At 38.8% G+C, this 13644-nt stretch overlaps 1 long non-coding RNA gene across 1 annotated transcript in view, besides 1 other annotated feature; it reads left to right on the top strand.

Annotated features, from left to right (window-relative positions):
* PROX1-AS1 (PROX1 antisense RNA 1) overlaps positions 1-13644 on the top strand; it is a 166513-nt gene that overhangs the window by 11897 nt on the left and 140972 nt on the right. Inside the window, exon 2 of the long non-coding RNA NR_037850.2 lies at positions 7973-8186. This is a non-coding gene — a long non-coding RNA (PROX1 antisense RNA 1). The remainder of the gene's footprint in view (positions 1-7972; positions 8187-13644) is intronic.
* Positions 12897-13191: a silencer, noted in NCBI's record as "tiled region #2902; K562 Repressive non-DNase unmatched - State 24:Quies". NCBI's record gives its function as "represses a minimal TATA promoter and a strong SV40 promoter by Sharpr-MPRA in K562 cells {active_cell/tissue: K562}" and the evidence as "EXISTENCE:reporter gene assay evidence [ECO:0000049][PMID:27701403]".

Here is a 13644-nt window from a genome sequence, read left to right as displayed (position 1 = left end):
GCCTGGGCCACAGAGGGAGACTGTCTAAAAAAAAAGTTTTCTTTATTAGTTTTCTTAAAGGGCACATTTAGAGTTTATATTAGATTGCCTTGAGCTGATTTCTTTATTCACTTATTCTTTGAAAAATATTAATTTACACTTCTACCAAGGGCCAAATACTGTACTCAACACTGATGATACCAAGACCCACCAGAGACACTAACAGTGCCAGGAAGAAATTAGGTAGGATGGCTATGGACACACATTGGCACAAAATACTTTAGGAGTCCGGAGGCTTGTCTTCATGGTAGTTTGGTGTATCAGTGAAGCCTTCAAGAAGGAGGTGAACATAAGCAAGTAATTAGTCACACTGGGGGCTTAGGAGAGGAGCAGAAGTGGGTTTATGTCCCTGTTGCAAGGTAAGAGAACTCTTAAGCAAGCCCCTGTACCTCTCTGAGCCTTAGTTTGCTTGTCTTGTCTGTACATGGGGGATAGTAACAATATCTGCCTTATGAGATTGTTGTGAAGATGAAATGAGAATGCATGGAAAGGCCTCAACACTGTGCCTAGCACAAAGCAGGCACTCAGGAAGTGTGTACTAGAAAGGTGGAATAAGGGTGACATTTTAGCTCAATCCCTAAGATTTATTCAACAAATACTTTTTGGGCACCTGGCACGTGTCATGTTCTCCTAGGTCCTGGGCAGGAGACCAACCGTGAGCGTGAAGAGGGATAGAGTGACGGGCAGCTCGTGCAATGGCATGGGGGATATCTGTCCCATGTTTGGGGGGCCTGGGGTGGCCTCTTGCTGCTGGAATTCAGAAAACCAGGAGAGGCCTGGTGGAGGCAGAGGCAGCAAAGTGTCCTGCCACACTAGGAAGGGCCTTTTGTGGCAGTAATGGCCTTCAGGCAGTCAGGAAAGAGACAGTGAGTCAGTTCATCTGTGGTTTCTTGGTTTCCTCTAACTTTTCCATGGGTGTGTATTGCCTTTTGGTAGTGGGCTGGCTAGACTACATTCTCTTCAGGAACAAAGGCTGCCAACTTTTTGTGGTCACCACCCTCCCCACATTGCCTATTATAATCAGGTGCTTCTGGCTGATACTCAATAAATATGGTTAAGTTTTTCTACTTCTGTATGTTCTGAAATATTCCAGCAGCTTCTCATGCCCAATTTCAGAATGCTTACATGAAAATGCTTCCTTTTGTGCTTGGCAGAGAGATTCATGAATTAAGAACTTTGGTCATATCACTGCTTAAAACTCTCCATATTGCTCTTGGAGTAAGTCTACAATTTTGAACGTGTCCTACAAGATTTTGGATAATCTGGCTCTTGTCCATGGCTTCTGCCTCATCTCTTGACTCCCCCTTTCCTCACCATGATTCCACATCACTGGTCTTTTCCCCTTTATTTCAACCCCACAAATACCATTATACATGCTGGTGCCTCTCCTTGAAAGGCCTCCTAACCCCCTCTCTAGACAAGCTCTTCCTCATTATTCAGGGTCCAACTTAAAAGCCATTTGTTCAGGAAAGACCTCCCTCATTTCCTAGGTTAGAAACCCTAATTATACATGCTCATAACTATAGTTTTATTTTATTCTACTTTCTCTAATGGAAATGAATAGTCTCTTTGGACATAAGCCTTATTTATTCAACAGCATTCTTCGAGCTCTTAATGTGGCCTAAATGTTGGGTACACCACACAGGAAGACAGTCAAAGTCCCTGCTTCATGGAACTAGTATTTTAGTAAGTGATGCAATGAATAAAAAACAAATACAGATATGATATGATGTTAGGTAGTGATAAATACTTTGGAGAAAAGCCAAGCTGGGTAAGGGCACAGAGAGGACTGAAGATGAGTTGAGGATGTTCAGAGAGAAGGTTGTTCTGTGTAGAATTCCCATTACCTAGCACGGTGCCCTGTATCTGGAAAGTGCCTGACAAATATTTGCTGAGTGAGAATCACATTGGTGCCAGTAGACCTGAAGGAGTAAAAGAGATGTGAATAGGGCTAACTGGATTATATAATTGTGCTTCTTTCTCCCCAAGTTCCTTAATTACATCTGGGAAAATGTAGTCTGTGCATTAATTCTGTATCTAATATGAATTATCCACCTCGATTCTCTGCTAAAGTTGATTGCATTCACACCTGTCCAGTGGTAATATTGCATATTTTCTTAATTGCCATGGGCAAAATCACAACTGGTTGGTGAATGAAATATTTATGCTTTAAAGAATTGGTGTTCTAATTCCTTTCTATTTATACTGATGATCAATTATTTCTCAGTGAGGAGGAGGCGAATTTTTTCTGTGATCTATGTGCTTCTAAATGACTAATGAAGTCAATCTGGGCCTGGCAGATTTTGCCACCACTTGGACAGACGTAGCAGTCGTGGACGTTGTGTTACTTCTCAGCTTGCTGGTTCCCTGTTCCCTTTGCAATGATCTCATTATTGGCATTTTGTTTTCAAAGTGTTATCGTTCCCATTTTGCATTATGCCTCTGTGTGCTCTGTGTGGAGTGGTGTTTTTTTTTTTTTTTTTTTTTTCAGATGGAGTCTTGTCTTGCTCTGTCACCCAGGCTGGAGTGCAGTGGCATGGTCTTGGCTCACTGCAACCTCCGTCTCCCGGGTTCAAGTGATTCTCCTGCCTCAGCCTCCAGAGTAGCTTAAGGCACTGCCTGCCACTGTTCTTTCAACCAAGTTTATCTTCTTCAAGAATATTCTGAAGATTAAATGTCTTTGATTAGCAAATTTTTTTTTTAATTTTGGTGAAATTGGGAGAAGGGGACTTATGCTTTCATAAACATCTTCTTTAGTGGAATAAAAAACTGGACTTGGGGCCAATTGGAATGGAGATCAAGCCAAACGGTGTTCGTTTTCTAGACTTTGTTAGAAAACTGAACAGCATGAGGGAAACAAGGGACAAGAATGGTTCTTTTCCTCTTCTCTGGACCCTAGCACCCCTCTGTGTGCTGTTATCTGGTCCTGCTTCTTCGATGAGATAGTCTCTTTCCCTAGCCCAGAGACCTTTTCTGGTTTGGCACTTCTATAGCTATCAGTCCATTGCTCTGTTGTATCACTCTTTGGGCAAAAAAAAGCCCATCACCTCCATATTCTTAAGTTAATTTTCATTCTTATCCACACTATTTGGGGCTGTCCCACCTCTCTTTCTGTTGATTCTCTTTATCTCCATGACCAGATCCCAAATTCAACTCCCCAACAGAAAATCACCTATTTTGTATCTGCCATTAACCAGCTGCCTTAGCCACCCCATGCCGTTGTAATGAGGTCTTCAGGTTGCTGCTCGTGGGATTGGTTAAGAAAAATACTGAAAAGAATTGGAATCTATCTCCATCACCACGTTGTTTCTTTTTAATGTTAGCAGTTTGTAAATATATATATAACTTATCAGCAGCTCCTCCTTTCCTCAAAGTATAAGCCCTATACAATTTGGGAAATGTGTGTGTTTTGTTGACCAAAATATGCTTGATGCTGGCCAGAGTAAACATGCTGAATGAATCTCTATGGAATATAGGAGTGAATGTAGAGGAAGAGGAACTTATTTCACCCTAAAGAAGTGAAATGAAAGCAAACTTTGGTGGCTTTTGTCTAACTGTGGGCAAATTGGTATGGACTGAGAAATTCAATTAACTGTATCCATCAATTTTTGTCTTTGGGGAGGAGTCATGAGACTAAGACCCAGAATTCTTGGTCCCACCCCTTTTGTGGCATTAAAAAAAATAGCCCAAACTTGGCATATTATACCAACCAGATTTTTTTCTTTGTCTCAAAAAGGCTCAGCTGAACACTAGATTCTTCACCCAGTGCAACAATCAAAAACTCAGAAAACCTCAGCTGCCTCAGATGATGTCACAAAACCTTTAAGAATGCTTACTGCTGAGTTGGGCACAGGTCCAGCAAACACAATTCTTTCTGCCAGTTATTCAGGGTCTTTGACAGATTAGGTGGTCTTTTTTATTCTTCTTCATCTCCTTTTTTTTTTTCATCCTCTTAAAAGGCAGTTCAGTTTACCTCTAAGCAAGACATTAACTCTGGCTACCCCAAATAACATTTTAATTGAAGTCTCAGTCCAAACAAATGCCCAGCCTCTTTATTAACCCCAACAGTGTAATTTTTCAACCTAAGGCTGATTCAGGGGGAAACTGTCTCGCTTAAACTGCCATGCAATGGAACATGGCAGTTTTCCTCAATCAGTCTCTTTTCTGACCTTAATTTGAACCTTAATCTCTTTTAACCATGTTCTCTTTATTAGCTGCTCATAGCCGTGGCACAATACTAATTTTCCTGTTTTTAGGCTATCAGTTTACAAAGGTATTTCACTCCTCCTTCTACCGCCAAATGTAATCATTAAGGTTTCATGAACTCTTTTGGGAGAGAAAAGTTAATACTTACTCTTGTTTTTTGTTGTTGTTGTTGTTGTTATTTTGGTTTAGTAATTTAAATAGCTGCTTTGCAAAATGTTCTGTAGAATTTTAGATGGTTTATTCCTGAGGTATATAAGATTTATGTACCAAAACCCCTATATATTTAATTGTTATAAAAACCTAAAGAATCATTTAAGATTATTACAAAGGACTTTTTTTTTATCAATAGACAGACCCACACCTATAAAATAAAGTAGAAAACTAAGGGCATTATCTGAATAATTCAGGCAAAAATAATATATTTTCATTAGAAACCTCAACTTTTAGGAGAGACCTGAATTATCCAAATAATTGACTCAATTCTTTTTCTTGATTTTTGTACTTAAATATAAACTAAGTAAAGACAGGAAAAAATAATTGTTTTCTTAATTATACCTTCCCATTTTTTGACATTGGTCAAATGATCCAAAGTGAAAAGAAAAAAAAGCACCCTTTTCAATAACAATGAAAAAAAAAGTGTTTCTTTATTTGTAGTCTACCTTAATACAGCAAAACTATGTAAGTAGAAAAACAGTGCTTATGATCATGTGCTCAATTAAATTTATAATAGGTTTTTGTACTTTTTGGCATTAGCATGAAAGCATATTGGTTATTATTCTTTATAATCTAATTGGGGGCTTTGTATCTAGTTACCCCTCCATTCTCTGCTTAATACAATAGTTTGTTGATTGCAAAAATTACATTTCTATGACTTTAAAGTCCTAGAACTAGGATTGTCATTGAAAGTTGGAGATTCAGCTCGGTGTTTGGGGCAGGGACCATGTGCCCCCTCTGTGTGAGGAGGTAGGCAGCTGGGAACAATTGTCTGTTCCCTGCAGTGTTTAGTGGCATTAGCAGCGTGTTGGCATGGTAAACTTTGCCTTCCTTTCACTGGCTCAAACAATTAGTGGGATTGAATCAGAGTTCTCCTGGATCATAGTTTATTATATGTTATTAAATTCCATTATTCAAGAAGTTGCTGCTATGATGATAAAAACTTCTCATCATTTCCCACAAAACCTCCATCTTCTTTCCCATGTATTTTCTTTTCAGTTTATCATTTGCTTCTCTGATAGACAAGGTGTCTTTTTATTTCCTGTTGGTACTTATTTAAAGAGCTAAGAGCTAATTTGAAAATACATCTTTGAAAGGACAACAAAAATGAGATGTGAAAAAAATGGATGAAGATTCTTAATTAGTCCATTATTTGACACGCACGATTTAACATGGTATGCTTAGCATTGTGCATTCCCCAAAAGAACAAGGCTCTTTTTTTATCCCAAACTTTAACTCCCTCTCATTCATTATATCCCTTCTTGTCACTTTCCATTAGCTGATCATGACATCCTTTGCTGGAAGGGCGAGCAAGCAGATTACTTCCAAACTGGTGTAAGTGACACTCAAAAGACTGGCCTAAAGGAGCTTCTGTGATAGCAGCAAGCTCCTCGGGCCCTGGAGTTGGAGAATGTCACTTCAATAATATATTGGAGTCCATTGTCACATCTTTTCTGCAGCAACTTGGCAACCATCCAGGAGTGGCAGGAATGGGTCTTCTGCTGTAACTCATGGGGGATAGTATCTAATGTTATTACTGTTGCTGATAATAATAATAGCAACAACAATTTATAGTGCCAATCCAATCCTCCTAGCATCTTGCATTTTACAGATGAGGAAACTGAGGACCAAAGAGATTAAATAAATTGTCCACAGTCACACAGCTGATAAGCGACAGAGCTAAGGTTTTAAGTGAGGTCTGGTGGATTCCAAACTCATATCTGTTTCTATTATAGCAGCATACTGACTTCTGGAAGACTTCAGCACATCTCCCTGAATCTGAAAGGGAAAGAAATGGTCAAAGGACTAGTCGTTTTGATGCAAGTGTCACCAGGCACTTCTAAATGTTGTAGCAGAGGATGATGGAATGAGCCAGTCACAGTCAAATACACATAGATAGATTGTGCTGACTAATAAAAGAAGTGGAGAATCTGATGCTCCGATCAGATCAGCCCTGGATAAATGAATCGTTCCTCATCCTGGCCCCCCACAATCCCTCCCCTACTCCCAATGATCTGACCTGGGGAACAGATCCTCTGCCTTGGAATGGGATTGACATGGAAAGAGACAGCAGCAGACTCCGATCTGAACAGCACCAGGACCAATCCTAGGTACTATTCAGATCCTGACACCAACCTCTGGCCTTATATGGTTTTCTGCTCCTAAGAAAACCACGTTGTCTTCATTCATCAAGTTTCAGGTTCTTTTTTCCATTAAGCAAGTTTTAGTTTCTTATCCCAGTAACCTTTGAAAAGTTCTGATTATAAAATAGAGAATGTGGAAATACAGAGTAATACATTGGAGAAAATAAAAGTCACCTGTTATTCTATCACCAGGAGAAAACAGCCTATGGTCTATATCTTTCTAGTCTGGGCTGTACATACATATGCTGGGCAGTAAAATGTGGTGGTTATAGGGATAGATTCTGAAAACAGACTATCTGTATTTAAATCTAAACACCTCCTCTCGCAGTCTGACCTAACCTCTCTGGCCTCCAGTTTTCTCATATGCACAGTACTTTCCTCTTATAATTTTTGTGACACTCAATGATCTAACGGATGTAAAGTAGCTAGGCCATGGGAATCCCTTATTGCACATTAGCTACTGTTCCTTATGTTTTGGTCCAGTGTTCTTGTCTTGTTCGCTGATTCTGACTGTGCCCCAGCCTCCTTGATTTGAAGACCATGGATAACTTCATTCTCAGTGGTGATTCTGTTCCTTCTCAGTGCATTTGGTTTGATCAGCCTTCCCCTGACACTGCATCAGTGACTTTTCAGGTCTCAATTCCTACCCATTTAAACATAACTCTTAAGGAAGCATTGACAGCATCTTACCTTATTTTTGTTCCTGTCTGCTGGACATATTTCTGCCTGGATGCCCTGCTTACCCAGCCTGGCACTAAGGCAAAACCTAAGTAGCCCTTCCTGTTCTCATCTGTCTTGAACTCCTTGAGGTTAGTGCAGATGGAGGCAAGATCAGGAGTTCGTGATCACAGAGACACCAGCAGCATCAACCCACAATCTTGGGCCTCTGGAATGTCAGTGACAAACTAGGTTCCAAGTATATATAGGCAACACAAAGGCAAGTTTATTTGTTTAAACCATTTTGAATGTGAAAAAGAAGGTAATTATGAAGGATATTTCTTTATTATCTTCTTTAAAAATCCTCTGTTGGTAAGCCCATCTCTCAGAGACCTTTTCACCACTTAGTAAAAAACTCTGTCTATCTATCTATCTACTTACCTATCTACTTTTTTTAAATGGGGAACTATGTGTGATGGGTGAGTGGATGTCAACAACAGGAATCGGAGGGGTGGTGAGGGTGAATTACATTTAATGAAGCTGGAAGTTCACATGGACCTTTCAGACTTAAAAAAAAAATGTTGATTTTACATGCCAAAGTCTTGAAAGGGGCTTGACGGCTCACGGCTTTAGTGTGTTTTTCCAGATGGCAGATGCCATTTTGTGTTTTGCATAAACTGACTAAATTTGCTTGCTCTTTGTACTTATTTCAGAGAGAACCATTCTCTGCTTTCAATAGGACAGAAGAGCTCCTTGGCACTGGATGCCTCCGGGTCTGGTTGAGAGAGGAATGGTTAGGAGACTGTTCTGAGGATACGCAGACATCATCCAAAGCTTCCTACATTCAGATGAGGACAGAGGTTGGGCCAGAGCTTTGTAAGCTTGTTACCTAAGGATGGTTCTGACCATGTAAGCAGATCACAGAAGGTAAGCCATGCTGAAGAACTTACAATAGTTATACTTCCAGTTTGTCCATTTTTATCTCCATGGGTAGCAAATAGGTTCATGATGCTGTTATTTCAATTACTTTACATCCTGCTAATGGCTAGTTGTGTGATCCTGTAACTTAATTTCTCTGTGCCTCAGTTTTATCTGAAAGAAAAAAAAAGATAATAGCACTTATCTCTTAGGGTCATTGTGAGGATTCCATGAGTTAGTCCAGCCAAAGGCTTTAGAACAGTGCCTGGCATACAGTAAGTGCTCAAGAAATGTTGGTAATTATTATTGCTATGATTCATTTCCACAAGAATTTGCAATTTTTTTTCTTTTCTGCTAATTGACTTTGTCCAACTCCCATCATCTTTGGGTCATTTTTATGGAAATAGACTGGTAATAAGAGTGGTTAAGTTACAGGGTTTCTAGTCAAATAGAGTCAAGTTGAAGTTCTTAAAGCAATATTTAAGAGCTGTATCTTCTTGACTTACTTTCTCTAAGCCTCAGTTTCTTAATCTATAAAATAAGAAGGATTATAAATCATCCTACTATAAAAACACATGCACACGTATGTTCCTTGCAGCACTGTTCACAATAGCAAAGACTTGGAACCAATCCAAATGCCCATCAATGAACACCTGGATAAAGAAAATGTGGCACATACACAGCATGGAATACTATGCAGCCATAAATAAGGATGAATTCATGTCCTTTGCAGGGACATGGATGAAGCTGGAAAACATCATTCTCAGCAAACTAAGGCAAGAACAGAAAACGAAACACCGCATGTTCTCACTCATAAATGGGAGTTGAACAAAGAGAACACATGGACACAGGGAGGGGAATATCACACACCGGGGCCTGTCAGGGGGTGGAGGTCTAGGGGAGGGAGAGCATCAGGACAAATACCTAATGTAGATGACAGGTTGATGGGTGCAGCAAACCACCTGGCATGTGTATACCTATGTAACAAACCTACACGTTCTGCACATGTATCCCAGAACTTAAAGTATAATAAAAAAAATTTTAAAAAAGGATGATAATAATAGTTGCCTCTTAACACTTCAAGAGGATTAAATGGGACAATACTTGCACAATGTCTGGCAAGCATATAAAGATTATAAAGAATATTATGTATTGGTATGATTTTTGCTGCCCCGAATATACAAAACAGTGCTCTTATACTCAAAAGTGCTTCTAGAAGCTTGTCAAGTTTCCAGGGCTCTAGTGTCATGTCAATATTCCACCAGAAAAGAGGAAAAAATCCACAGAAATAGAAAGATGCTGGATGCTGTGACTTTACTAGGACCCTTTGCCAAATAATGAAGTGGAATTGAAAGGGTTGAGTCTTGCTCAGCATAGATTTTAATTCAAGTTAGAAAACTCAAATTTCTTTTTAAAAATTGAAATCATATATTTTTAAGATGCACAGTGTGAGGTTTTGATATACATATACATAGTGAGTTGATTTAAAAATCAAGATAATTAATATATGCATGTCTTCACATAGTTACCTTATTTGTGTGTGGTGAGAACACTTAAGACCTACTCTCTTAGCAAATTTCAAGTATACAATACAGTATTATAAACTACAGTCCCAGTGTTATACATTAGGTCTCTAGAACTTGTTCATCCTGCATAACTGAAACTTTGTATCTTTTGACCAACATCTCTCCATTTCCCTTACCCCTTTGTCCCTGAGAGCCCCTACTCTACTCTCTGCCTCTATGAATTCAACTCTTTTAGATTCCCCATGTAAGTGAGATCATCTAATATTCTTTCTGTGCTTGGCTTATTTCATTTAACATAATGTCCTCCAAGTTCATCTATGTTGTCATAAATGACAGGATTTCCTTCCTCTTAAAGGCTAAATAGTATTCCAATATATATATACACATACGTATATATATGCATATATACGTATGTATATATATGTGTAAATATCACAGAATTTATTTATCTGTCAACAGGCAATTAGTTTTTTTCTATATCCTGGTCATTGTGAATAATGTTGTAATGAACATGGGAGTGTAGATACCTCTTTGAGATGTTGATTTTATTTTCTTGGATATATACCAGTAGAGGAATTGCTGGATTATATTGAAGGTCTATTTTTAATTATTTGAAGAACCTCCATTTTGGAAAACTCAAATTTCTGAGCAGACTGATCCTGGACTCGACGCGGGGAATTGTTTGAAAGGGTAGGAACTAAAGCCTTATTCTTCTGTCCTAAACCAAAAAGTAAAGTGTAGAGCAAAGTAGCTTGTAGGGAAGAAATAGTTACTTGTGCTGGTTGCTTCTTATGGGGGATGTGGTATTTGCATATGATAAAATACTCAAATCTCACATTTAAAAAAATGTATATTTCTTTCCCCAAACTAAAAATGGATAGGAGTTACATCTGTAAATGAAAGAAAACTGTCTAAATATTATAATTGTGTTATTAAAGAGTTGAAAATGATTTCAGTCACATTTGCCATTCTCATCCAGCAGTAATGAGTGGTCCCTATTAATAATTGAATAAAGAGAAAATAACTAAACACTGGAAACTTTTACCCCAAAGCCAGCATGAAACCTGAAAAACTGAAGAACTTGGATCAAGGAAGCATAAAAAAATCAACAGTCTTGCAAATATCTTATTTGCCATATAGATTTGTTTTGACGTCTTCCTTCCAATGCCTATCACTCCTAACAGTCAGAATCAGATGCTATTTGAGTTGCAGGAAAAAGTGCTAAAGTAACTTCCTCCCACTAGATGACAGCCCCATCTTTTTCTCTCAACCTCATGCTTAGAAATTACTCAGAGTAGAGAGTAGGACGCTATGGTTAATTATTATTAGCAGTAAAATAAAAGAGAAAAGCAAGCTCAAATAAGAGATGAAAGGGAAAGTGCATGTCAAAAGAAAAAGGAAGAGAAGTTGGAAAGAACAGGAGGAAGCTGTACTATTAAAGTGGGGAAAATAAATTACATGGCAGCAAAAAAGAAACAAAAAGAAAACTTCGGAGTCCAATGCAGAAATGGCTAGCTGACCAATGAAGATTCATCCGCCTCTCCTTCCACAGTGTAGAATTCCTTCTAGGAAGCAATTGCTCAGCCAGAGAGACAATCTCTCTCTCTCTCTCTCTCAGTCTCTCTCTCTCTCTCTCTCTCTCCTTTCCCTTTCTTCATCTTCTGGCTGGATAATGCCAGGATAACCCTGATGCTAGAAGATGTAGAACCATAACATGAAAGAAATCGGGATCCCTGAATCTCTTTTCAGAGGAATATCCACATTAGACTTTTTGTGAGTGAGAAATAAACTTTTAGATGTTAAGCCATTGAGCTTTTGGGGATTGTTTGTTATGGCAGTGAGCATTACTTACCCTGACTAATACAGAAGTTGATATCAAAAGGGAGCTCTAGAAGTAGATGCTTGTTCTTTTTATCTTTGCTCAAAAACCAGTTAATTATTTCCTGATAGCCTCTTATTGTTTTACTGTGTTCCTAAAAGCAGTCAATAGCAACCAACACATGTTATTTTTCACCTACAAGCTCAAGAGTCATGTGGTCTTTCAGGGTACCAAAGGCAATAATATTGCCAAGTGTTTTTCCACTCCATGATATGGATCTCCAGCCATCCAGTCTATTATATCTGTTTCTAGAAACACTACTTGACTATGAAGTCTATATCACATATTTTACAATTTTGTTACAGGACACAGTATTTAGTATCAAATATAACCATCAGATTTAATTAAAGAAATAGAAGTCTGATAAGATGCAATGTGCTCATCATACCATTTCCTCCCTCTGGGCACAGAGGAAGACCATAGTCTCACCCTTCCTTACAATTTAATTGGGGCCTTGAGACCAGTTTTTTTGTTTTGTTTTGTTTTGTTTTGTTTCTAATGGAATGTGAGAAGTACTGTATCAACTTTATTCTAGCAGTGAAGAGGGTTTATGGGCTTTCTCTATGTACTGTCTTCCTCTTCCACAGAGATCTTAGGTACAAGATGAAGCCAATCAGCCTATGTCCTGAACAAAGAATAACCTTATCTTGTTATACTATTCAGAGTTTGGGGGGAGGGTATTTATTACTGAAATACATCTATCCCATTCTGACTAATATTCTCTAAGTATTTTAGTTCATTAGGAAGGAATACAATATATGGAATTAGAGGTTTTATGAAATCATTGGGAGGGCTGGGAGTGAAGGTCAACTTCCAGGAAGTATGAAGTGTTGGAATCCCTGGGAAGCCAAGTTGTCACCAATGGTCTTAGCTGTCTACAGCACTGAAGTGGATGATTCTCAGAAGGATGCTCAGAAGCTGACACATAGCCCCATGTCTGCTATCTGCCAGTGTGTCACAAACCCGCCTGTAGCTACTGAAAAATGTCTTTTTCTCTTCCATTTTCCAGTGATTGCAAGAGCACCTCTCAATGGAAGATTATACCAAGAACTCCATGGGCAAGAGAGCTTAGGAAATGTAGTTTCCAGGCTTTCAGTCCTTGTAATATGGGAGGACCTTAGGGTCAGAGATGGTACTTACTGAGTCTCAACAAAACAATGCCTGGCACACATGGTCCTTATCCTTCTTATGGGAAATTCAGGTGTCATACTTCCATAACCCATCACTCTGGAAAGCTCCTTGAGAATAGATCTTACAATTCTCCATCCCCAGTGCCAGACAATACCAGACAATAAATCATTTTGAATTGATTTGAATAAAATGATAATAGATTCAATAGAAAATAAGACTTTCCCATGTGTTGAAGCTAGATTTCAAGAACTTTGTCCATCAAATCTGATAATTCTCCTTAATGACTGCCCTAGATGCTGCCCCAGCTTAAGCTATTTTGCTCCCTAGCCTGCTCAGAGTGACCATGAAGGGCTGCTTGCCCAACAGGTGACCTTGAGCTTACTCTGGATCCTGTTTGTACAGACAAATAAAAAAGATTTGGTGATGGTTGGTTTATTGGGTCCATAGAGACCTTCAGTCATGTCTTTTTTGTTTTAAACTGCATCGTGAAGTTGATTGCGTAGAGTTAGTCAAAGAGCCTCTATATTTTATTCCATGTGCCTTCTGCCAATGCCTACAAACCTGCCTGTGGCTACTGAAAAATGTCTTTTCCCCTTCCATCTTCCAGTGATTGCAAGAGCACCTCTTTTGAACACAGCCTTTGGGCTCTGACAAAATTGGAATCACTTTGGGAATGGGGAGTTTGTGAATTCATGTTGGGGCAGGGTGGGGAGTATTCTGTAATTGAGAAGGAGGTAGGGTGGGTTTGTGCACTAAGAAGGACTTATTCTGCCATAAGAAATGGATACTCAGAAAAGAGAGGACCAGACCCTGATGTGGTTTCATCTGAAAAGGCACAAAGTTAAAACTCCAAGGAAGATTAAATACATCCTCTTGATATTTATTTTCCTCACCAAAAAAAAAAAAAAAAAAAAAGAAAAATGAAAGAAAA

Source organism: Homo sapiens, chromosome 1 (genome assembly GCF_000001405.40).
Source record: "Homo sapiens chromosome 1, GRCh38.p14 Primary Assembly".
NCBI classification, from domain to species: domain Eukaryota; kingdom Metazoa; phylum Chordata; class Mammalia; order Primates; family Hominidae; genus Homo; species Homo sapiens.
Note: the sequence above shows the minus strand (reverse complement) of the source record. Positions and strands in the feature narration are given on the sequence as shown.